At 35.7% G+C, this 26838-nt stretch overlaps 1 long non-coding RNA gene across 1 annotated transcript in view, besides 2 other annotated features; it reads right to left on the bottom strand.

Moving 5' to 3' along the window:
* The window catches only part of LINC02712 (long intergenic non-protein coding RNA 2712), a 65964-nt gene that overhangs the window by 7169 nt on the left and 31957 nt on the right, over positions 1 to 26838 (bottom strand). The window lies entirely within an intron of this gene.
* Positions 8365 to 8895: an enhancer, noted in NCBI's record as "H3K4me1 hESC enhancer chr11:127190865-127191395 (GRCh37/hg19 assembly coordinates)". NCBI's record gives its function as "activates a minimal SCP1, AML or CMV promoter by ChIP-STARR-seq in naive H9 embryonic stem cells {active_cell/tissue: H9 hESC(naive)}" and the evidence as "EXISTENCE:reporter gene assay evidence [ECO:0000049][PMID:30033119]".
* Positions 17918 to 19117: an enhancer, noted in NCBI's record as "MED14-independent group 3 enhancer chr11:127180643-127181842 (GRCh37/hg19 assembly coordinates)". NCBI's record gives its function as "activates an origin of replication core promoter dependent on BRD2, BRD4, P300/CBP and CDK7 cofactors, and independent of MED14, by STARR-seq in HCT116 cells {active_cell/tissue: HCT116}" and the evidence as "EXISTENCE:reporter gene assay evidence [ECO:0000049][PMID:35650434]".

Genomic DNA, 26838 nt, shown 5'->3' with positions numbered 1-26838 from the left:
GAATGTCATTTACTCATGCATCAGGTGATCAATCTTGCAACATCTTGACATTCTTCATGATAGCACCTCATTTCTTGAAAGGCACACTATTGCACAGTAAAACAAACAATAATACAAACGTTTTTAATATTTTTATACATATATATTTTTAAATGCTTTTTATTAAAAAAACTATTCCATGCATCACTTTATTTTCATGAACACTCCTCCTTCCCCAAGTGTTTCTTGGGATACTCTGTATAAGGACCAATGGGGAACTCACTAGAGGAATATATTTTAACTGTCAATAGAATAACAAGATAATAGAATGTTAATAATAGAAATTGACTTTAGAGATAATTTTCATTAAAATGAATAATATATTATAAAAGAAGAAATTCAAAATTCTCATACAAATTTAGTATTTTAGAGATGATAAAAAGTATCTGAAAGGGTATTTAGTTAGATTTCCCATTGCAATTATGACATTGCATGAAATTTAGACCAGGCACTCACATAGTATCCACCTTGAAGTTTTCATTTATACATTAATTCCTCCATTTATTCAGTAAATATTAATGGACACTTTTGTTGTGCTAGAGATTGTGAGGATACAAAACCTCAGAAAACATAGTCTTGTAAGCCCTCAAACACCTTAGAGTTTAAAAGTGGATCATAATATTAATAATGAAGTAAAAGTCACATTTGATGTGCTGAAAGAGAAAAAAATCATTGTGGAGTTTTAAATAAGCTAAAAATAACAAATTCAGTATTCAGTGTCAATTTTGTAAAAGTATGATACTTTTTTATGTGCAATGATTGGGGTGCAGACAGTCATCATTCCAGGTAAAAGAATTAGCATTATACAGAGGTATATACGCAAATAACCACCACGTATATTCAGGACAACTTTGGTGATTGGTTTGGCTGGGGCTGATATGTAATGACTTCATTGTTAAACTCTGTATTTTTTCTTTCAAAGAAGATGATAAGCATATCTATCAATTCAAACATCTTCTTGTACCCTTTGTAATTCCTTCCTCCCTTTCCACACTTCCACCAACTCTACACAACCAATGGTCTGTGTTAATCACCATATGTGAGTTTATGTTTTCTAAAATTTTACATATGTGGAATCATACAGTGTGTAATCTTGTTTTGATGGTATTCTTTCATTAGGCATAATTATTTTGAGATTTAAGATTTATCCATGCACTTGCATGTATCAGTCATTCACTCTTATTGCTGAGTAATATTCCAGTGCATGGATATAGCATAATTTATCTATCTATTCACCTCTTGATACATATTTCAGTTGTTTTCAGTTTGGTGAAATTATAAATAAAGCTTCTGTGGATATTTGCATGCCCATCTTTGTTTAGACATTCTTTTTTATTTTTGTTGCATATATCAATAGCATTAAAGACTGGTATATTATTTCTTTCTTGCATTGCTATGAAGAAATACCTGAGACTGCGTGATTTATATAGAAAAGAGGTTTACTTGACTCACAATTCTGCAGGCTGTCTAGGAAGCATGATGCTGAAATCTGCTTGGTTTCTGGAGAGGCCTTAGAAAACTTACAAGGATAGAGGGGGGTGAAGGAGAAACAGGCATGTCTTAGGTGGCCAGAACAGGAGGAAGAGAGAGAGAAGAGAGGTGCCACATGCTTTAAAACAACCAGATTTAGTGAGAACTCACTCACTATCGTTAGAACATCACCAAGGTGATGGTGCTAGACCATTCATGTGAAACCACCCCCATGATCCAATCACCCTCCCACCAGGCCTCACCTCCAACACTGGGGATTACAATTCGACATGAGATTTGGGTGGGGACACAGATCCAAACCATATCAAATGGGTTGAATGGTGGTTATATGTTTACCTTTTTAAAGAAACAGCCAAATTATTTTTCAAAGTCTTTGTACTGTGTTTTATTTCTGTCAGCAACCTATGATTATTCCAGTTATTACACATCCTTGCCAATATTTGATATGGTCAGTCTTTAATTTTAGTTATTCTAAGAGATTGCAATGATATGCTAATGCTTTTATTTTGCATTTCCCTAATAAATTGTGATGTTCATCATTTTTTCATGTTCTTGTCATTCATCCATCTTTTACCCATTTTATGGTTGACTGTTTTTATTATTGAGTTTGAGTGCCTTTCACAACTCATGGCTATAAGTCCTTTATCAAACACGTTGTTTGCCAGGACTTTCTCCCAGTCTGTGGCTTGTCTTCTCATTATCCTAATAGTGTCATGTAAAAAGCCTATTTTGATGAAGTCCCATTTATCAATTTTTTCTTACGGATTGTGCTTTTGATGTTGAGACTTGTTCTCTGGCCTAAAGCAGAGGTCAACAAATTTTCTCAGTAAAGGGTTAGACACCACATAATTCACTGTATGACCTCTGTCACAAATATTCAACTCTGCCATGGTGGCTATAGATAGTACATAACCAATAGGCATGGTTGTATTCTCATAAAACTTCATTTACAAAAAAAAAAAAAAAAAGAGGCAGATTCGACATGTGGGCCATAGTTTGTTGACAATCAGGCTAGAGTATGGTCTATAGTGGTTAATGCTCTATGTCTAAGGAAAAATTTGGGTATTCTTTTTGGGGGAAAATTGTTCTGTGACTGTCACTTAAGTCAAGTTGGTTGATAGCGTTTTTTAAGTTTTCTATAGACAGACAGTCTTTCTTATTTGGTGCTTGCTTGTACTATCAGTTATTGAGAGGGGATGTTGAAATATCCAAGTAAAACTGTTATTTTTTTTTTACCATTTCTCATTAGTTTTGCTTCATGTATTTTATAACAGTTACTTGGCAAAAAAAAAAAATTAGGATTATGTTCTCTGAGAAATCTACCCTTTATCATTATGCAATGATCTCCTTCATCTAAGGTAATAATTTTGTCATAAAAATCTACTTTATTAGATATTGAAATAGCCACTCCAGCTTTCTTTTGATTAGTGTTAATGTGGTTACCTTTCCCATGCTTTCACCTTTAACTTACTGTGTCTTTACATTTAAAGTGGATTTCTTGACAGCATGTACAATTGACCCTTGAACAACGTGGGTATTAAGGGTGCCAATCTCTGCGCAGTCAAAAATTTGTGTATAACTTTTGACTCCCCTAAAACTTAACTACTAACAGCCTACTGTTGATCAAAACCTTACTGATAACATAAAAAGTTGATTAACACATATTTTGTGTGTTGTATATATGGTATACTATATTTTTACAATAAAGAAAGATAGAGAAAAGAAAATGTTATTCAGAAAATCATAAGAAAAAATATTTACTATTCATTAAGTGAAAGTGTATCAGCATAGAGATCTTCATCCTTGTCTTCATGTTGAGTATGCTGAGGAGGAGGAGGGGTTAATCTTGCTGTTTCAGGGGTGGCAGAGGCAAAGGAAAATCTGTGTATAAGTGAATCCATGAAGTTCAAAGCCGTGATGTTCAGGGGTCAACTGTAGTGAGATATTGCTTTCTTATCCAACCTGACAATCTCTACCTTTTCACTGGGGCATTTCAACTATTTACATTTAATGTGATATAGATGGTTGAGTTTAAACCTATCATCTTGCTGTTTATTTTCTATTTTTCTAATTTTTTTAGTTCTCTTTTATCCTCCTTTTCTGCATTGCTTTGTATTAATTAAATATATTTTTATTATTCCCCTTTGGTTTGTTTACTAGCTACAGCTCTTTCTCTTATATTTAGGGTTTCTGATATACATTTTTAACTTATCAGATTCTACCTTCAAGCAACATACTTCATATCTAGTATAAGAAACTTACAACTATATGTTCCCATTTCTAGCCCCTACTTTTATGCTATTGTTGTCATATATTTTTTCTACATATGTGAGAAAGATCACAATACATGGTTACTTTCTTTAAACATTCAATTATCTTTTAAAGCGACTTAAATAAGGAAGGCTTCTTTATATTTAACTACAGAATTACCATTTTTAAATTTTTTTTTATAGTTCCATATTACTACTCAAGGTCATTTTTCTTCCTTTATCATTTCTTATAATGTAGGTCTGCTGGTGATGAGTTCTTTCAGCTTTTATACATCTGAAAATGTCTTTATCTTACCTTAATTATGGAAAGATAATTCCATACACTAAAGAATTCTGAATTAACAGGGGTTTTTGGTTTCTGTTTTCTTTTGTTTTTATTTTTAGTACTTTAAAGGTGTTCCACTCTCTGGCTTACATTGTTTCCCATGAGAAATATGCTATCTTTTTGTTTGTTAATCTATACATAATGTATCTTTTCCTCCTCTGGCTACTTGTAAGATATTCTCTTTATCACCGATTTTAAGCAAATTGATTTTTATGCACCTTGCTGTAGCTTCTTTTATGTTTCTTGTGCTTGGGGATTCATGAGCTTCTTGGATCTGTGGGTTTATAGTTTATATCAAATTTGGAACATTTTTATCACTATTTCTCTAACTTCCTTAGCATCTTTGGAATCCTGTATTCATCTCCTCAACCCAAGGAGACTCCTGGACCACATTTGGTGATACCTCCTGGAAACTTGGTCCAGGTAGGAAGCTGGGACAATCCTAACACTCACCTCATTTGTTTTCCATCTCTAAGAGATCACTATTCTTTGTCACCTGATGTTCAGTGTTTTGAGAACATTTTTTTTAATACCTTGCTCATTTCTTTAGTTACTTCAGGTGAGACAGTAAATTCAGTCTTTGTTACTACGATTCGCTCAGAAGTTGAAGTATAAACTCATGGATTTTTTACGATCCTCCTTGTGTTACTACATTTTAATGTTACTGCATTGTCATTGGAGAAGATATTCTGTATGCATTGGACATTTGTAATTCCTTATACTGCTTGTAAGGTCTAATCCATGATCTATTTTTATAAATATTACATATGCACTTTGGGGGAAAAGAAAGTGTCCTTTCTATCTGTTAGGTATAGAATTCTACATATAGTAGCTTGAAATGTATATATTTGTTTATGTACTTAATTCACCACTTATGTTTTTCCCATGTGTTCCATCAGTTTCTGAACAGGGTATGTTGAAACTCCATCTAAAATTTTTGTTTCAGTTTTTTCCCATTTTGCTTCTGGTAGCTATGTTTTAATATATTTAGGGATTATATGGGAAGGTCCATATGTATTTATGTTTAGTATTCCTTACTCTCCCATAGTGAATTTTACCAATATGTAATGTCATTCTTGGTTTTTAATGAAAATTACCTTAAATTCTTGTTTTCACATATTCAAATTGGTCTCCAAGCCTTTTTTTGGCTCACATTTATTTGCTGTATTTTTTTTCTGTCTATTTATTTTCAATATTATTGTTCCATTAATTTTAAGAGGCCTATTTTGGATAATATAATGCCATAGCACTGGAAAACACAAGAATACATATGTAGTCATGTGTTGTTTGATGATGAGGTTATGTTCTGAGAAATGCATCAGGCAATTTTGTCATTGTGCAAACATCACAGAGTATACTTATACAGACCGAGATGGTACAGCCTGCTACACACCTAGGCCTTATGGTAGTGGCTATTTCTCCTCCAAGGCTGCAAACCTGTACAGCATGTTACTATACTGAATACTGTAGGCAACTGTAACACAATGGTAAATATTTGTGTATCAAACATAGAAAATGTACAGTAAAAATACAGTATTATAATCTTAAGAGACCACTGTTGTATATGTGGTCAATCATTGACCTAAACCTTAAGCAGCACATGATTATAACAAAATATGCTCAATATCCCTTTATATAAAAATATAAAATATTATTGAAAGAAATTACAGAATACTTAAATAAGTATAGGCATGCACTATGTTCAAGATTTGGTAGATCCAACATTATAAGGACATCAATTCTACCAAATTGATTTATGCATCAAACACAATTCTAATAAAAATCCCCAGAGGTTATTTTGTAGAAATTTTTAAGCCAATTCTGAAATTCACTTGGAAATGCAAAACAATAGCTAAGGTAATCTTAAGAAGAATAATATGGCAAGACCTACTTTATCAGATATTAAGACTACAGTCCTTTTAAAAGAGTGTAATGATGGCAAAGGTATATAGATTAATAGATAAATTGAACATAATAGAGCGTCTGACTTCAGACCCACACCTGATTTATGATAATGCTAGTACTGCAGACCATTAGAAAAGAACTGACTCTTTAGGAAGTGGTGTTACTCAATCAGCTATCTACATGAAAAAAAAATGAAAATTGACTGTAACGTCACTTTATTTGCAAAAATAAATTTCAAGTGAATTGTAAACCTGTGACTTCTTTTTTTTTTTTTTTTTTTGGGACGGAGTCTCGCTCTGTCGCCCAGGCCGGACTGCGGACTGCAGTGGCGCAATCTCGGCTCACTGCAAGCTCCGCTTCCCGGGTTCACGCCATTCTCCTGCCTCAGCCTCCCCAGTAGCTGGGACTACAGGCGCCCGCCACCGCGCCCAGCTAATTTTTTGTATTTTTAGTAGAGACGGGGTTTCACCTTGTTAGCCAGGATGGTCTCGATTTCCTGACCTCATGATCCACCCGCCTCGGCCTCCCAAAGTGCTGGGATTACAGGCGTGAGCCACCGCGCCCGGCCAAACCTGTGACTTCTATAGTACAATATGAAACTTAGGATCTAGAAAATTTTCTCAATACACAAAAGCACTAGTCATAAATGAAAAGTTCATTATACGCTAATTAGAATTAAGAAGTTCTGTTCTTCAGAAAACACCATTAAATGAGGGAAAAGTCACGTCATAAAGTAAAAGACAATAATCACACTGACTGATATTCTATAAATAAAAACCCATATGTATCAAAAAGAAAAACAATATCCAAATGGAAAATGATGAAGAACTTAAATACTTCAAAAAATTGATTAGCAAAATGTCCAACAAAAACATGTAAAGGTCTGCCATCTCATTAAAAATTAAAACAATATAAATTAAAACAATGAGGTATTACTACAACATCCCCCATATACAGTAAAATCATTATAATAAAACAAAACAAAGCATATTATCAATATCTCACATTGGGAAAGATAGAGAGCAACTAGAATTTTCATCTTCCTCAGTAGGAATACAAATTGGCATGATTACTTTTAACACCAATTTGGCATTATTTGCCACTGTAGACTGAAGATGTGTTCCCTCAAAAGTCGTATGTTAAACCCAATCCCTGATGGCATTTGGAGGTGCAACCTTTGGGGGGTGATTAGGTCATGAGGGCAGAGTCCTCATGAAAGGGATTTTATAAGGGCACTCCCTTATAAAAGAAACCTTAGAGAACCCCCTCACCCATTCCACCATGTGAAGTTATAGCAAGAAAACAAGCATCTACAAACCACGCCACCATGGACCCTCTCCAGACACCAAATCTGCTGGCACATTGAAATTGGACTTCGCAGGCTTCAGAACTGTGATAAATGAATTTCTGTTGTTTATAAGCCACCTAGGTTATGGTATTTTGTTATAGCAGCCCAAATGAACAAAGATGTTTACTAAAGACAAAACTTATTAGCTATGCAAACGAAGTCTTGTACAGAGAAATTCACAGCAGTTTTATTTGTAATAATATCCAAATGGAAACAATTCAAATGTTCATCAAGGCAAAATAAATATATTGTGTTATGTTTATACAACGAAATGCTATATAGCAATGAAAATTAAGATTTTTGTGATAATCACCCCTTTCCTTTTTTTTTTTTTCACTAATTTCATCTGTGTGTGTATTCTGATATGGTTTGGTTGTGTCCCCACCCAAATCTCATCTTGAATTGTAGCTGCCGTAATTCCCAAATGTCATGGGAGGACCTGGTGAGAGGTAACTAAATCATGGGGGTGGGTCTGTCCCATGCTGTTCTCGTGATAGTGAATAAGTCTCACAAGATCTGATGGTTTTATAAAGGAGAGTTTCCCTGCCCACCCTTTCTCTTGCCTGTTGCTATGTAAGATATGCCTTTGCTTCTCTTTTGCTTTCCACCATGATTGTGAGGCCTCTCCAGCCATCTAGAACTGTGAGTTCATTAAACCTCTTTCCTTTATAAATTATCCAGTCTCCGGTATGTCTTTATTAGCAGTGTGAAAACAGACTAATACAGTAAATTTGTACCAGTAGAATGGGATGTTGCTGTAAAGATACCCAAAAATGTGGAAGTGGCTTTGGGACTGGGTAACAGGCAGAGGATGGAACAGTTTGGAGGGCTCAGAAGAATATAGGAAAATGTGGGAAAGTTTGGAACTTCCTAGAGACTTGGAGGGCTCAGAAGACAGGAAGATATGAGGAAGTTTGGAACTTCCTAGAGACTTGTTGAGTGGCTTTGACTAAAATGCTGATAGTGTTATGGGCAATAAAGTCTAGGGTAATGTGTCAGATGGAGATGAGGAACTTGTTGGAAACTTGAGCAAAGCTGACTTTTGCTATGCTTTAGCAAAGACACTGGCAGCTTTTTGCCCCAGCCCTAGAGATATGTGCAACTTTGAACTTGAGAGAGATGATTTGGGGTATCTGGTGGAAAAAATTTCTAAGCAGCAAGGAGTTCAAGAGAAAGCAGAGCCTGAAAGTTTTAAAAATTTGCAACCTGACAATGCAATAGAAAAGAATAACCCATTTTCTGAGGAGAAATTCAAGCAGGCTGCAGAAATTTGCATAAGTAACGAGGAACCCAGTGTTAATCACCAAGACAATGGGGAAAATCTCTTCAGGGCATGTCAGAGACTTTCATGGCAGCCCCTCCCATCACAGGTCCAGAGGCCTAGAAGGGAAAAATAATTTCTAGGCCTGGCCCAGGGCCCCCTGCTATGTGCAACCTATGGATTTGGTGTCCTGCGTTCCAGCCGCCCAGCCACAGCTAAAAGGCGCCAAGGTGCAGCTCAGGCAGTGGCTTCAGAGGGTGCAAGCCCCAAGCCTTGGAAGCTTCCATGTGGCGTTGAGATTGCGGGTTCACAGAAGTCAAGAATTGAGGTTTGGGAACCTCTGCCTAGATTTCAAAGGATATATGGAAATGCCTGGATGTCCAGGAAGAGGGGCCCTGCAGGGGTGGGTCACTCATGCACAACCTCTGCTAGGGCGGGGTGGAAGGGAAATGTGGGGTTGGAGCCCCCACACAGAGTCCCCACTGGGGCACTGCCGAGTGGAGCTGTGAAGAAAAGGCCACCATCCTCTAGAAAAAAAGTTAGATTCACCAACAGCTTGCACTGTGGGCCTGGAAAAGCCCCAGACACTCAACACCAGCCTGTGAAAGCAACCAGGAGGGAGTCTGTCTCCTGCAAAGCCACAGGGACAGAGCTGCCCAAGACTATGGGAACCCACCTCTTGCACCAGCATGACCTGGATGTGATACATGGAGTCAAAGAAGATCATTTTGGAGCTTTAAGATTTAATGACTGCCCTGCTGAATTTTGGACTTGCATGGGGCCTATAGGCCACATATTCCCCTAAAATGTGGAAGCGACTTTGGAACTGGGTAACAGGCATAGGTTGGAACAGTATTGAGGGCTCAGAAGAATATAGGAAAATGTGGGAAAGTTTGGAACTTCCTAGAGACTTGGAGGGCTCAGAAGACAGTAAGATGTGGGCAGTAAGACTGCCAATTTATCCCATTTGGAATGGGTATATTTGTCCAATGCCTGTACCCCCATTGTGTCTTGGAAAATCACTAACTTGATTTTTTACTTTACTGGCTCATAGGCAGAAGGGACTTGCCTTGTCTCAGACGAGATTTTGGACTTGGACTTTTGGGTTAATGCTGGAATGAGTTAAGACTGGTGGAGTCTTGAAAAGGCATGATTGTGCTTTGAAATGTGAGGACATGAGATTTGGGAGAAGCCAGGGGCAGAATGATATGGTTTGGTCTGTGTTCCCACCCAAATCTCATCTCTAATTGTAATCTGCATAATCCCCACATCATCGAGGGGTGGACCTGGTGGGAGATGATGGGATCATGGGGGCTGTTCTCATGAAAGTGAGAGTTCTCACAAGATCTGGTGGTGTTACAAGGGACTCTTCCCCCTTCACTCCTCGCACTTCTTACTCTCCTGCCTCCATGTGAGAAGGTCCAAGCTTGCTTCCCCTTCCCCTTTTGCCATAATTGTAAGTTTCCAGAGGCCTTCCCAACCCTGTAGAAGTGTGAGTCAATGAAACCTCTTTCCTTTATAAATTACCCAATCTCAGGTAGTATCTTTATAGCTGTGTAAGAACGGACTAATACAGAGTGGAAAGGGCAGAGACTAGGATAAACAAATACAACTAAAATAATGAAAACAATGAAGGCCTAAACATCAATACTCCAAACACTATGGTGGACTGGCATATTGTTATATTGAGGGGAACGATTGGGCACTAACACCATTTAAGAGAAGCTATTTCATTTATAGTGTACTCTTGAGTCATATATAAAATTATAAAAATATAATTCCTAGAGTTTTATTAATTCAGCTCTGTCCTTTGGACTGAATAAAATGAACTTTATTGTTAATTTATAGAACATCCCTGCAAGTATTTAAATATAACAAACCCGTGTGGCTAAGTTTACAAAGCTATTTAAGTAACAGAATAGCAGGGTTGAACATGAGGTTAGGGTTCATATTGTTCAACAATTCATCCACAAAATGCATTTTTTTTATGTCTTCTCCGGAGTCATCTAGCTAAAACATGTTGGCTCAAAAAGTGAAGAACTCATGAATTTCCCAAATGGAGAACACCACACGGCAGAAATAGCTAGAGACTTGAGATAATACTAACACAATATTTCTCAATCGTAGCTGTGGCTCTATATCTACACCATCCTTGTTAACAGTCAGTATTGCCTCATAGATACTAATAGTTGTGACTAATTTCATTAACTTCCAGCATTTCTCTCTGAAAAAGCTTGGTTTGAGTTGATTAGGAAGAAGCTAATAGGAAAACATATTTCATGGAGTATCATTCTAACAACAAATTTTCCACCTGCCAATCTAGTCCAGCTGTCTTTACCTTTCACAAGGAGGAAATCTTTTCCGATGACTTAATACAAGGTAAGGCATACTTGGCTATGAGCATGTGTGGATGTCTTCCAAAGCAGAGAAGGAAGAGTGTGGAAATCTCTAGGACCCATATTCTTTTAATACATAATTCAGATATTATAATTAACCAGTTGGGGTGCTCTGGCATAACCTTTTGGCTTGTTATGTTTTCAGCTTATTACTTCAGAGAATAATTTAGAAGTTTTTATAAGTATTTACAACAATGAGGTCACTCATGACTCACTATTGCCAATTTAAGAACCTTGAAGCCTTGGTTTGAGGATCTAGTTAATTGCATTGAGCTACTTAAGTGAAAAAAATTTCAGTTCTCCATACTCTTTGCAAGTTGATATTTTAATAGTTTATTCATATTACCTATTTTGCAAGCAGCTAGGATACTTCCAACTCGGAAGATAATTAGACCTTTCCCAGAAAACTGTGGGGTGGCATGCTAAAAGGAAATGGTATATTGAGTCTTAGAAAACCTACTATTTCATTTGGTATCAAAGGGATTGATATGGTTTGGCTGTGCCTCTACCCAAATCTTAACTTGAATTATATCTTCCAGAATTCCCACATTTTGTGGGAGGGACCCATGGGAGGTAATAGAATCATGGGGGCCAGATCATTCCCATGTATTCCTGTGATAGTGAATAAGTCTCACGAGATCTGATGGGTTTATCAGGGGTTTCCACTTTTGTTTCTTCCTCATTTTTCTCTTGCCACCACCATGTAAGAAGTGTCTTTTGCTTCCTGCCATGATTCTGAGACCTCCCCAGCCATGTGGAAATGTAGGTCCAATTAAACCTCTTTTTCTTCTCAGTCTTGGGTATGTCTTTATCAGTAGCATGAAAACAGACTAATACAGGGATGTTTTCAGAGTACAGGCATAACCTATACTCTGGATGTATTATCCAGAATAATTTTCTTCCGCTTGTTTTGTTTCACCAAATCCTACTGAGGATATATAAATGTTCAGTCTCTTCCAAGATGTCTCCAATAAATACTCCAGAAAATTTACTTTTTAATATTTTGTTTGCTTTTTTTCCCAATCTGTTTACCAGGCTTGTTTTGTTTTGTTTTGTTTTGTTTTAGAAATTGGCTTACCAGTTGTCCTATAACATATAGTTTAGAAAAATGTACAGTCCCACTAGTAGTGGGTTAACACATGTCATCATTATCTCCAAAGCTACTCTATAGACAAGTTCCAGTTCTGATTAAGATAGAGCAGGCATACTCCATTCTATCTCCCCTACTAAATGCAACAAAAATTACTGGATAGAATGCACAAAGCAGCTATCTAAAGGCTCTAAAAAGTAAATGGCAGCAGATGCATTGGACAAAAAAAAAAACCCAGAACTTTTAATCCAATAGTCCAATAGATTTGGCAGTGAGTACCCTAGATTGTTTTTCCTTCCATATCCCCCATTGTTGATTCAAAGGCAGCACAAATCCCAGAGTTGTGTACCACGTGTATACAGAAATAGCTCTAAAAGAAGACTCCTTATTCTGATCTACCAAACAGAGAAAGTAGGATAAACTCTGGTCTTGTTTTCTTCTCTTTTTCCAACCCCTGTCTCCATTCCCAAAGTGCAATTATTCCACAGCATTCACTATAGTACTATAGTAGTTGGACCTGACCTTAAAACTGTAAGGGAAGAGGATCATTCTTTCTGATCAGAGAAACTTGGTCCAAAGACTGTGTAGGGAATTTATGTTGCTTTTTTTCCTGTCACTGTCCTCCTACCACTTGCCCCTGGAGGCTGACCAAATTAGGGAAAGTGATCAGCAAAGCACAGAGAGACTAAAGTATCATTTTTTTTAAATGCCTGGGTGCCAAAGAATGTGAGTGAGATAGCAGAGAGTGCAGAGCTTGAAAAATAGAAAATCCTGGATTCATCTCAACCTGCTCATGCAAGGATATGTCCATAAATGTGCCTGAGTAGGCTCTCAAAAAACCTGAACTGTGCCACTGCTCAGATTTCAGATTGCTCTTGGAAGGTGCAGATATTGTACAGATACAAATAACACTCCAAAGCCTTTGAAAACAAAACTTACATTAGAGCTGTAGTCCATGGAAGGTGAGTTTGAATTTTTGATTTGAACCGAACCAGATTGGTTGATGGATAAAAAATAAAAACCAAAAACACAATCTCCATAAGACTTGCAAAAGACTCAGATTTACACAACATATTTTTACAAACATCTAGTATCCAATACAAAAATCACAAAACATACAAAGAAACCAAGAAAATTTAACAATTCTTAAAGTAAAAGACAATAGCAGAAACCAACCACATTTTATCAGATAATTTGAAACAGCTGTTGAAATTATCTGATTAAAAGTTTTAAAGTAGTTTTTATAACCATGACAAAGTAAAAATAAATACTATTGAAACAATCTAAATGATAGGAAGTCTCAGCAGCAAGAAATAGAAGCTATAAAATAGAATCAAGTGAAAATTTTAGAGTTAAAAATATAATAATTGAGATAAAATTCAGTGGATTGACTTAATAGCAGAATGGAAACTACAGATGAAAGAGTAAGTGAACTTGACAATAGAGCAATTATAAATTTTCCAATCTTTCAAGTGTTAAAAAATAGAGTGATTTTGTATTTAAGGAATAAAGCCTTAGGTACCTGTGAGACAATATAAAAAGAGCTAACACTTATGTTATCAGAATTCCAGAAGATGAGAAGAAAGGTTTTGGTACAGAAAAGATATTTTAGGAAATAATGACTAAACACTTTTTAAAATTTGTTGAAAGACAAACTGGCAGAAAAAGAAGCCCAACAAACTGCAAATGGGACACCTTCAGAGCAATGCATGCCTGGATATATTGCAATCAAAGTGCTAAAATAAAAGATAAGTAAAAACTCTAAAAAGCAACCAGATAAAACCAACATGTTACATATAAGGGTACACCTTTAATTGATTGCACTAAATTCAAATGACTGCAGATTTTTCATGAATAATCGAGACCAAAAAATAATGGAACAATATGTTTTAAGTGCTGAAAGCAAAGAACTGTCAACCCATAATTCTATATTCAGTTATTCTATTTCTATTCAGAGATAAAGTCAAAGTCAAGAAATTCTAGGATGAAAGAAAATCAAGAGAATCATTACCAACTGACAACTTCTGAAAGAGCTATTAAAGAAAATTCAAGTAGAAGGGAAATGCTGTTAGAGAGAAACTTGGCATTTTAAGAATGAGGAAGAACAATAGAAATTTTAAATATCTGAATATATATAACAGACTAATTTTCTTATTTTAAATTCTCAAAATGTACATTACAGTTAATGTAATAACCAAAAATAAGTAAGGAGATTGAACCAGCATTAAAAAATCTCCAATCAAAGAAAAGCCCAAGATTTCAGCTCTTCATTGCTGAATACTACCAAACATTTAAAGAAGAACTAATATAAATTTTTTTCAAACTCTCCCAAAAATTAAAGAGAAGAAATACTTCTAAACTCATTTTACAAGGCTAATAATACCCTGATACCAAAGCCAAAAAAGGACACTATAAGAAAAGAACAAGCCAATATTCCTGAGCATAGATGCAAAAATCCTCAACAAAATACGAACAAACCTGAATCTCTAAGATTAAATGAAATTTATCCCAGGGATGTAAGAATGGTTTAAAATACACAAATCTATATATGTGATACATCACATTAGCAGAATGGACAGAAACCATAGGATTATCTCAACAGATGCAGAAAAAGTGTTTGACAAAACTCAACATCCTTTTATGATAAAAACTCTCAATAAATTAGGTATAGAAGGAATGTACCTCAACACAATGAAGGCCATATATGAAAAATCAACAACTAAGATTGTGCTCTATGGTGAAAAGCTGAAAGCTTTTTCTCTAATTTCAGGAACAAGATAAGGAAGCCTATTCTTGCTACTTATATTCAACATAAATACTGGAAGTCCTAACCAGAGCAATTAGGCAAAAAGGACAAAGCTGGAGACATCACACTATCTAATGCAAAATATACTACAAAGCTATAGTAATCAAAACAGCAGGGTACTAATTTTTCAAAAACCTAGTTTTAAAAATTGGGCAAAAGATTTAATCAGGCACTTCACCATAGAAGATACGTGAGTGAAAAAGAAGAACATTAATAGATGCTCAACATCATTAGACAAATTAAAACCATTATGCAATGCTAATATACATTTATTAGAATAAATAATTAAAAAGCAAGTATTGGTGATGATGCAGAACAATGAGAACTCTCATATATGTTGGTGGGTATACAAAATGATATAACCACTCTGGAAAAATTTGGCAGTTTCTTATAAATATAGAATTACTCTATTACCTGACTTATATTAATTTTTAAGGATAAAAACACAGTGTATTTAATCCTTAAAACTTAAAAAAAAATTAAAACATGTTTACACATTCAACAATCAACTTGTACATAACTGTTTATAGTAGCTTATTCATAATTGCTAGAAACTGGAAACAACCCAAATGTCCTTCAATGGGTGAATAAATGGAACCATTTTTAATGGAATAATACTCAGAAGTAAAAAGGAAGTGACTATCAACACACAGAGTTTGATGAATCTAAGTGAAAAGATCTAGCCTCAAAAGGTTGTATACTGTATGATTCCATTTAGATGATACCTTGGAAAAGGCAAAACTATGGGGAGTGAAAATATGCAAGTGATTGCATAGGGCAAGAGGCAGATTATGAAAGGACAGCACAAGGAATTTTGTTTCTTAATTGATGTAACTGTTTTGTATCCTGATTGTAGAGGCAGCTACTTAAATCTATACTTGTGTTAAAATTCATAGAGCTTCTCACAGAAGTTAATTTTACAGCGTGTTTATTTTTGAAGTGACATTACAATCTCTTTAATGATTACATCTCTTATTTATACCTCAGGTAAAACTAACAATACTGACGTTCGTGCTAAGAAAAAATTCATCTATTTCTTTTAAAATTCTGAATAGACAACCATGCAAAAATTGAAACAATTAAATACATATAAATATTTTAGCAGTGCTGTCAAGAAAATTATATTAAGTAAAATGTATAACAAAGTTAATTTAACATGCATTACTGTTATAAAACATTAGTATTGGTTTCCATGGTATGCAGTCCATTTAAATGACTGAATTAGTATTACTTTTCTAATCAACCTGTTTAAAAAATTTCTCTAGTATCTATAATCATTGTCAATATTTTTAATACTAATGCTCATCACACACAAAACTCCTATATTCATATTTGACTCACGAAAAATACCCATATTTGGCTCACAAAAATGAAATATGTCTTATATTTGGGGGCATAAGAAACAAGAGAAAAACTGGAAGTCGCAAACAATAATCGAAGCATTGAGCTATGCAAAAGAAATGTTGGATTGGGTGAAAAAAAAAAGGAGTTAAAACTTAAAACTTCTATTAACCCACAATGATTTACTGCTACCTACTTCATAAAAGATAGGCTGTTAGAAAATTAGGGGATACAATTGCAAATAATCAAAAATCTCTGACCCTCAAAGAGAGTCACAGAAGAGTGAGAAAGATACAGTCCATGAAATGGCAGATTCAAATTTTGTAAATTTTAAAGTGTTCTGTGAAATAAAAAAATTATACAATTCAGGTTTTAGTATATGCTATTTCAGACATAATAACAAAATGTATAGGTTTTTATAAAAAGAAGAGATGATTTCTAATTGGAAAGATGTAGGGACTTTTTGGGAAGGAGTGATTGAGTTGAACAATTAGAGGCAAGAGCAGAGTTCAGGCAGAGGCAACAGTGAGCTACAGCACGGAAGTCAAAGAAGGCAGAGTGGGTTTGGGAATGAGTCAGTAGTTTGGCCTGGCTGCAGGGAAAGAATGGGATGAAGATTGTCAGTGATGGTCTGATGTGAATGACAAGATAAGAAGTCTAATCTTTCTTGTGAGTATGATTGGTGAACAGTAAAGGCTTGGAATGGGCAAATAGTGTGCTCAGAACATTTTTCAGGCAAACTTTGTGGCAGTGTGAAGAACAAATTATAAGAAAGACCAGAGGACTCAAAATTAAGGGACCAGTTGGAAGGTTCTCTAAACAGTTCACATGAGACCAAATCATCCTTAATTAGGGAATTGTCATTAGGAGTGGGCAGGAAGGGAAAGTGTGAAAAGTATTGCAAAAGAGGCGTTGCCAGGTTTTGTGCCAGCCTATCTTTGGCTGGATGAGAAGAGGAAGGGTCTAAGATATTTTAGGATATCGAGACTGAGCAATGGCAACTTGTGATGTCCCTAATTGTGTTAGGTGGCATTGAAATAGATGCTGAAAAAGATGAGTTTGATTGGAACAGGTTTAGTTTTAGGCACGGATTAGGTGGAAATGCCAGTCAGAAGCCCAAGCCTGATGTGAAAGGAGGAGCTCCTGTCCTCTCACATAGAGGCTACAGTTAAATAAGTAAATCAATCAATAAATGAAGTGGAAATGAAAGAGATCATCCTGAAAATGGATAGAATAAGAGGAAGAAAGATTGAACAAACACCTAAATCATATGGATTTTAATGGGAGAAGGAGTCAACAACATAGGTTGAGTGATGACTGGGGTGGTAAGAAGAGCCAGGAAAGTTCACTAGAGAGTTAAGAGAAACCATATAGTATTAAACCATGCAGGATGCTGCTGACTTACTTTTTATAGGCTGGAAGCCAAATTTCAGGTAGATAGAGACATAATGAGAGACAAGAAAGCAAAAACACAGGTCAAGGAGGTTTTAAGCATCAAGTGTGAAAAGCTTTACAAGGACATTACTCAGCCTTAAAGGATAACATGACCTCAACCAACAGCTGGATTACATAAAGAATGGCCCCATTTCTTCTTGGAACAAAATATCTATTCATGCTTGGCCACCAGTACAGAACCATTAAATACCTGTGGCTGTAGTGGAACAAGATCAGGGGCCAGGAAGTCACTGTGGGAGGCATTTTTTTTTTGATGATTTGCAATCTTCTGGGGAGAAATAATGAAAACAGAAACATTGAAAGCAGGGTTTATCTTCAGCTGGGACCAATTTCCCCACACTGCATTAAGGCAACCAACTTGAGACCAGCAAACTCAGATTTGAGCTCCAGGTATATCTCATTCCCCAGCCATGCAGGTATAAGAAAGCATCACATCTTTCTGAGGTCATGATTTGCCTTTTGTTTTTAAGAACACTGTTACATCATCCATAACAGATTCCTTGGAAAGTTTGTCAGCAAGGTTTTGTGACGTAGTCTCAAAGTTCAGCCTGCAGACTTTGCTATGACAAAGCATTTTTTTTTTTTTTGAGACGGAGTCTAGCTCTGTCGCCCAGGCTGGAGTGCAGTGACGCTATCTCGGCTCATTGCAAGCTCCGCCTCCCGGGTTCACGCCATTCTTCTGCCTCAACATCCCAAGTAGCTGGGACTACAGGCACCCGCCACCACGCCCGGCTAATTTTTTGTATTTTTAGTAGAGACGAGGTTGCACCGTGTTAGCCAGGATGGTCTCGATCTCCTGACCTCGCGATCCTCCCGCCTCGGCCTCCCAAAGTGCCACAGGCGTAAGCCACTACGCCTGGCCTCATTTCTTATTTGCTATCACCTTCTCTCTAGTCAACCAGAGGTAGAAATACTCACCATTTCTGGGGGAAATTATGGATGTGCAAGGTAGACTGGAGAAACTGGAATAGACATCTCTATGGAGCCTCTTTTTTCAGCAGTTTTTTCAGCAATCACACAAGACAGTGGCCCCATGGGATAGAGTAAGACATTTCACATCCTAAGAAAACAGAACAAAATGCCTCTCCTTTTATGCTGCACCAGTCTCCTCCCCCAGGATTTGACCACTCCAAGACGATAAAGTGGATTGTTCTTATCTGTGTTTTTGTTTCATTTTACTGCAGTTTTATTTTACTTCTTTGGAGACCTCGCTTGAGGATATTGGAAAAATGCTAAATAATAATCAGGCTGAGAAAAAGAAATGGATTTCCCAGCATAGTGGGTATAAAGAGAACGGGCTTAATTATTGATTCTCACTCCTGCCTTGTTCACACCTCGGCTCACATTCAAATAACTTAAGGGAAAAAAATAGTTCAGAATCTAGTAAAGCAGAAACTATTCTAAGGCTGTTAGGGTGTCAATTCCATCTTTCTTTAATTTGGAAACGTGTTTCTCTGCTGTTGTACTTGATCAATAAAGAAAACAGAGGAAGGAAGTTTACCGATATATGGTCTATCTGCTGAAGTTGGAGCTTGCCAGATGGCAGACAAGGAGGGATCAGACAGCCTGGCCCATGGGAAGTTGTGAGGCCACTTTTCTGTAGGATTTCTACCTGGTTTCTGTTTGGAAACTGTATTTAACTACCAATTAGAAACCTCAGGGAAATCTTTGGGGTAGTAGCGTGAATCTTGCTTTGGCTTTTTATAACTGTGTGTTTTGACTCTCTCTAGCTTTTTACTAATGGGAACATATTAAAAATTAAACTGTTTCAATTTATGAAACCCGTTCCAAACAATCTCATGGTATATAAGGGTCAAATCCAATAAGTTCATTTGGAAGCAAAAATGCATCCGATAGGCGTATTATCTTTTCTACTTTCAACATGAAACAGTGGATTTGGGCTTTCAGTGAAAACAAGAAAAAGGCTGAGCTTTATGAATAACAAGAACATGCTTGTAATTGTTCCACAAGCTTGACTTTCAAGATGTTTCTACAAAAACAGAGTGAAAGAAGAGAATTGAGGCAATTATATAGTCAATCTACATGTCAGCTGAGGTCGTCTGTCCTTTGAGACTTACACAAAATTAACTTCAACCACTACTCTCATCTTTAATAAGAAGTCCAGTATCCTCTCTGAGATTTTTGCACACATCTGAAATGTACCTTCTCATGGTTATCTGTATTTTTTAATTGACTATTCCCATTGAACTTACATCTCTTCTTTCACGACTGTCCTCTTCTTGTTGCCCGGTGATAATTCATACACCAACGCAGCCCCTTATCCCTTTATTTCCTGAAACTCTATTCTCACAAGGCAGTTAAGTATAGCCAATAGCTATTACACTGCAGCACTAAGCAGACATAATTTTAAAATTAAGTGCAGTAGACATATATGTTCCTAAACTTGCCTAAGCCATCACTGCCACCAGAAGATTCTCAATGCCCATCAATTCTTTATGAACTTAATCTCATATATACCTGAATTTAAGTTGCTTAGACCTGTTTCTTTTTTTCAGAAGACTTCCCCTGTCCTTACATCTGGTTTTCTCAAATAAATGTTACCTTTCATGCAATGTAAATTAACTTTTTTTTTTCATTTCATCGTCTTCTTTAGGAGCTGAGGCTGATCAAGATATTTTGTTAAACAAAAGGTGATCATCTTAGGAAATACCACCCTGCTAGGAGCCAAAATGGCAATTGTTTATTATAATGTTCTTAATTGTTTTTTTTTTCTATGTTACATATAGATAAAGCAGACCACAAACTCAAGAATACCTCGATGTCTAGCTATTTTAGACCACAGATGAAGATAATCTGAATTAATTAATGATGCTCCAAATCTTCATTGGATATTTTGTGCTTAGGCCCAGCCTCAGACAGCCAACTGTACTAACTTGACCTGTGAAAATAATATTGAATTTGATGTGAGCTCCAGTTAAATACAAATCACTACATATGCGATCCTTTTTCAAGAGCTAAGCAGATTAAATTTTTATTTATATTAAATATAATAGGGAGCAGAGTTTTAATTTGCTAGAGAAAAAGAAAATGTTTCACTCCTTCTTGTTCTTTATGATTACAGCCATATTATATTAAGGAGCCTTGAGAGATATCCCAGCCTCTGTCCCAGCCTCATTCCCTGGTGTATTACTGCTAGCTAGAAAATCATAAACTATTAGTATTTGAAGAAGCCACAGAGGATATCAAATCTTATCTTCCATGGGACTCCCTATAAAATACTTTCTGGGCTTTTGCTAGAAGAATGACAATAGTGTATTTGGAAAACATTAACTATTGGAAAGTAAGGTATAAATGAGTATAAAAACTGTATAATATATTGTATATAATATAAGCTCAGCAAGTGAAATGTCAATTCCTTCTCATTCTTTCCCTAATCTCTTAACTGAGATGAATATTCTTTTTTCTCTTTTGAACTTCCTTCCTTTGTACATGGTCCTACCTCCTGAAGAGAGAAGAGAATCTCTATTTTCTGTTTCTCATGAGAACATTTCAGATTCTTAAAGATAACTGTATTGCTTTGCTTTATAATTTCTTCAACATTATTTTGCAGCCTTAACTATTCTAATTCTCCAACTCTAATTGTTTTCCTTGGTGCCTAAGACTTAGAAAAAAAGCTCTTTTGTCTAACAAGCACAGAACACTACTTTGTGTCTACAGCTATTAGCACAACCCACATTTTAGGAGTCGTATCACACTGTCAGCTTTATCCCACAGTTAAAGTCATCTAAATGTAAATATTCTTTCTTTTCCACCGATGGATGGTTGTTAAGCTGTATTTCCCCTACTCTGTATTTAATGGAGCTCATTTTAAAAAATACAGAAAATGTACTTATATATTTAAACTTCATCCTGTGTTATTTGTCCAACTTGTCAAGACCTTTTAGAGTTTTAATTCTCTTATCCAGAAATTGATTTATTCCTGCTTTGATTTATCTGAATCAGAACCACGTTTTAAATATTTTCTATGATTTTACAAATAATGGTGAACAACACAGACAGCAGCAGAGTCTTTTGACAAGCCCCTACAATCTTCTGTTCAAGACACCTAAGATAGCCACAAAGACAACAGAAGCTTTTCTGGCATGTGTCGCTGCTCACCAGACACTGTCTCAGGCAGTTTCCACGAGCTCACTTTAATCTTCGTTATTTCCACCTAACATAACTATCCACACTGAAAGATGACAAAACTGAGGTTTGACAAGAATGATGCAACGTGTCCAAGGTTCACAAATGTAACTAGTATGGTCATGTAGGTCCATCTGGCTCCCAAACTTAAACTCTTCTGCTGCTTCAACCATGTACAACCTCGTTTGGATATGGTTGCTCAACCAACCCAAACCCTACAATCCCTAGCCCATACTTGCCATATTATTAAAAAAGATATCAACACTGTATTTCATATACCATATATTCTTATATTGATATCCAAAAGGATATCAAAGTAAGTTTTGCTAAAATTCTAGTTGCAAGTGAAAATAATCTAAAATCTAAAGCATTATTGTATTAGCTACGTTTTTAATCCTGTATTTTTTAATGACTTGAATTTGGTATAACTTAATTTCTTAACAATCTAAAAATTCTTAGTAATCTTATAAAATTCAAATTCAATTCAGATGTCTCCTATGCTAAGCACTCATATCATTATTTTATTTTAATTTCCAGGGATTACTATCAATAACCCTAGTCTGTAGTCTGAAATGTGTCTTTTCTCTGTATTAAATAATTAGACAGCTTTTGTCTGTCTCAAGCAGCCTCTGGCATGACCCCAATCCTCAAAGTACATCACAATTGGTTTCCCAATTGATTTTACCATTTTTCCCTATACTCTGGATATAATTTGTTTACACCAAGTAACTTGAATACAATTTAAAGTTATTCTTTTATCAGCTCTATTGATATTACTGTTTTCCTCTCCTTTCTTCACCTCTGTTCTTCTCCTCTTTATTTTATTTTCTGATTATAAAAGAATAGGGTTAAGCAACAACCCATTAGACAGAGAAGACAGTCAACATGAGTCTTTTTTTAATGGATTGTCTCTAATGTTTCATTATGAAGTATGATGGTAGCTGTTGATTTTCAAAAGATACCCTTTTGCAATTGAAGAATTAATCTTCTAAAACTTGTTTCCTCAATATGTCTGTGGTGTTTTTTTTTTTTTTTTTTGAAGGGGGAAGGGGAAGGGGAAAGGGAAAGGGAAGGGGAAGGGGAAAGGGAAGGGTAGGGAGAGGGGGAGGAAGGAAGAAAGAAAAGAAGGAAAGAGAGAGGAAGGAAGGAGAAAGAAAGAAGAACTAAAGAAAGAAAGAAAGAAAGAAAGAAAGAAAGAAAGAAAGAAAGAAAGAGAAAGAAAGAAAGAAAAAGAAAGAAAGAAAAGAAAGGAAAGAAAGTTACGTGGCATATTGATTGCTATTGGACTTTTTACAGAGTCCTTTCAGATTACTCTGGGGATTTTTTGTACTGGGCTAAGTGGTATTGTATATTATAATCATGTCTCCCCTGATAATAAACCAGCTTTTCAATCTGCAGACAAATCCTCCCTGGTCATGGTGAATGATTATTTGAAGATACTATTGGATTTGATTTGCTAATAGTTAAAGAGTTTTGCATTAATATTTCTCAGATAACTCATTTACAGTTTTGTCTTTTTTCCCCCTGGCAGGCGGGGGTTTTCTTGTACAGGTCTTTTGTGGCTTCAAGCTGAAGAAAATGAAGTGGATACCACTCTGTCTTTTTCAAAGCTTTAGATCAGTTTATGTAGCATGGGAATTATCTGCTCTTTGAAATTTTAACAGTAAAATTATTTGATCATGGGTCTGCTACTGAAGGATACTTTTTGATCATTTATTTTCGGTTTTTGTTCAAATCAAAATTTCTACTTGTCCTTAATTTTGGGCATTGATTTTTTTCCCCTAGGTTATCATTCACCTAGTGTAGTTTTAAAATTATTTAAAATAGCTTGTGTGTAGACTTAAACAAATTATCTGCTATTATATCCTTATTTTAAAAAATATTTTTGCTTTCTTTTTTCATCTTGATTGTATTTGTTTTTTGCCTTTTTTTATTAATATTACTGTATTACTGTTGTGTTTAAAGAAACAACTCTTGGATTTATTGAGAAATTATATTTTGTTTTTAAATTCATTAAATATCTGTCTTTGTAATTATTACAGGTTCTTCTCTGTTTCCTTTGGTTTATTCTGTGGTTGCTTTTGTAACTTATTCCACAGATTACTAAATTCCTTTATTTTATTGGTATTTTAATAATGAGAGCTTTTAAGATTATTGCCTCTGAGAATAACTTTGGCTGCATGATACTACAATAATAAGTAATGTTTGTTGTATCTCTATTATTTTTTAAGTAGTCTATTATTGCAATTTTGAATTTTTTGTCCTAATAGACTTTTTAAAGAATGTTTTAAATTATCAAATTGCTGGGTTTTATTTCTGTTTGTTTTTAAACTTTGATTATTAATTTGTGATTTACTATATTGTAACTGGACAATTTTCTGCTCAGTTTCTGATTTAATAATTTTATTTATGAGTAGAATATAATCAATTTTTATACTTATGAAATTTGAAAATAATATATATGCTCTTTGTATACAAAGTTCAATATATCCATGATTTCAAATTTGTTATATTAAAGTCATATTATGTATTCATATTAGAGTTGTTTATTTATTTTAATGTTTCCTATAACAGCTATGTTTCTGTCAAGTTCTCATTTATCTATTTAACAAGTGTTACTAAGCACCTGCTCTGTGCTAGGCTTATTTCTAGGTGTTGGGGATGCAGCAGTCAACCACAGGCAGGAGGACCTCTTGGGACAGGTGGCACTGAGAGGGCAAAATAACTGTTCCAAGGTCATCCAGTAAAGCATATGTAAGGCAGACATATGCGTATGTATATGTATACATACACACATGCGTGCATGATATAAATGTCTCCTTTTAACAGAAATGGAAGTGCTTCTATCAATACTGCACTTTCTATACACATTATTTTGTATTTTGCTTTTTATCATTTTTCTTTTCATTTTAGGTTTCAGTGTGTCTTATTTTATTGTGTCTTTGTAAAAGAAGCTGGGACCACCAGCCAGGCATTTTTCAATGGCTTCAATCCTCCCTCCCTAAATTTTGCCCGGCCTATCCTTTTTAGCTTCATGCTTTTCTTCCCTTCATGTAGAAGTTGTGGCTGAGCTGTTTTACTTTCCCACTCTGCTCTCTGGGTACATGACAATATCCTCAAGCAAGTCACCGCCCTTCTTTATCATGCACCTTTTAGACAAAGCTTCAGGTCCTCTAGGTCCCGTCTCTTACTCCAGCCACAGCTGCAGCAAGCAGCTCCAAGAAGGATTGCACCAACCTGCATCACTGCACCTGTGTGCTATGTCCCCTCCTTCTTGCCTAGTGTCTACTGTGACAACCAGAGTATCCAGTTTTGGTTCTCAACTAGCCACAGACTGCTAAGTGCAGGAGAATGAATATCCAGGATGCCATCCCTGACCACTGAAGGATGGGAACAGATGGATAACACATCTAGCTTTTAGATCTAGGGCAGACAGACGTGAGATCCACCCCAAAGGCACTTCAGTAGCCGCCATTTGGGGTCTCTTAACAGTGACCAACTCTATAGTGCATCTCTGTATGGCTTTTTCTCCTTCTCTGCTTCACATTCTCTGTGCCTAGTGCCTGTTCCTTGGGATCACTTCCAAAAATATTACCTGCATGCAAGCCTTTGTACCAGGCTCTGCTCTCTGGGAAACCCAGGCTAAGACATCTTCCTTGCTCAATTTCTTGCTCTGCACGAAGCTCTCAAATCTCCTTATGCTTTTTAAAGGATCTTTCTCAAATATTTGTCTTAACACTTTGGCTACCGAACATTATTCCTACAGCCTGGTGCTGTTCTTTTGTGTTTCTACTTTGTGTTTATTCTCCTCCTTCAATATTTAATGTAAGTCCTTTTATAATAGGTGCTTAAGTTGCAGTTATACCAGTTTGTTTAGATTTAAATCTTTTTGCTTTATTATTAGAATAATTTCTGATTATGTGGAATTTTTTTTTCCTGAGTTTTTCTACCTTTCTATCTCTCTTAAGCCATGTTATTGTTCAAGTCTCTTTCCTTGGAATTACACACACACACACACACACACACACACACACATTCTGATTATTTTTAACTTTGCTGTTCTGAAGTCAAGTCTAGGACTTCAGTCACATCAAAGGGGTTACTCTCTCCAAGGTCCCTGCTGCTCTCATGACATCAACCAGTTTTGTCTCAACGATTAGAATTAAATCCATGCAACAATTTCCTCCTTGTGACTTTCTTTTTCATTTAAAATGTAAAATAAGAGCATTTTATATTATGACTATGAGAAGATGCTCCACTTTTAGATGTTTCAGACTCTCAAGAGCTGCCCAGACAAATCAAAATATTCTACTAGGTCAGTGTGTTTCCCTTCAGAAGTTTTGTACTATGTTTAAGATATGCTGAGTCTAGAGTCTGTAGCACCCTCTGCCATTGTTAAACTTCTATTCATTTCTGCTTTTATCTCACATTCAAATATGAGACATCATGTTTCCAATCTTTGACTGACAGATTTCTACAGATATGCGTATCTTAACATGAGACACTATTCTCCTGTCCTTTCAATTAGACCACCTTTGTTTAAATAAGGTATATCCCTCTATTACTACCTTGTAGTCATATTCAAATCCCACTAAATTTCAGTGATACTTCAAAGAGGTTTTATATATATATATGTGTATACGTGAGTATATGTGTATATACATATACATATATGTACACATACACACATATATGTATGTTTGTATCAAAATATAAAGCCATATTTTATTTATGGAGAATGTTCAGTGTCTGGCATGTTGATGTCGGAGGCCCACTGATATTGTTTCTATTATAGTCATTATTTTCTCATCATTCCTTCCCCACTCTAAGGTACACTGTTTGCTTTCCATAGCATTAATTTTGCAGTTTAATTGAAGCCTTCCTCTCTGACTTTTCTTAAAATGTGTATTTCGTTTATTCTTATCACATTGATGAGTATGTTTCCACATTGTTCCAGGTTTTGAG

The sequence above is a fragment of the Homo sapiens genome, chromosome 11, assembly GCF_000001405.40.
Source record: "Homo sapiens chromosome 11, GRCh38.p14 Primary Assembly".
NCBI lineage: Eukaryota > Metazoa > Chordata > Mammalia > Primates > Hominidae > Homo > Homo sapiens.
The sequence above is the reverse complement of the archived record's forward strand: the minus strand, read 5'-3'. Positions and strand labels throughout refer to the sequence as shown.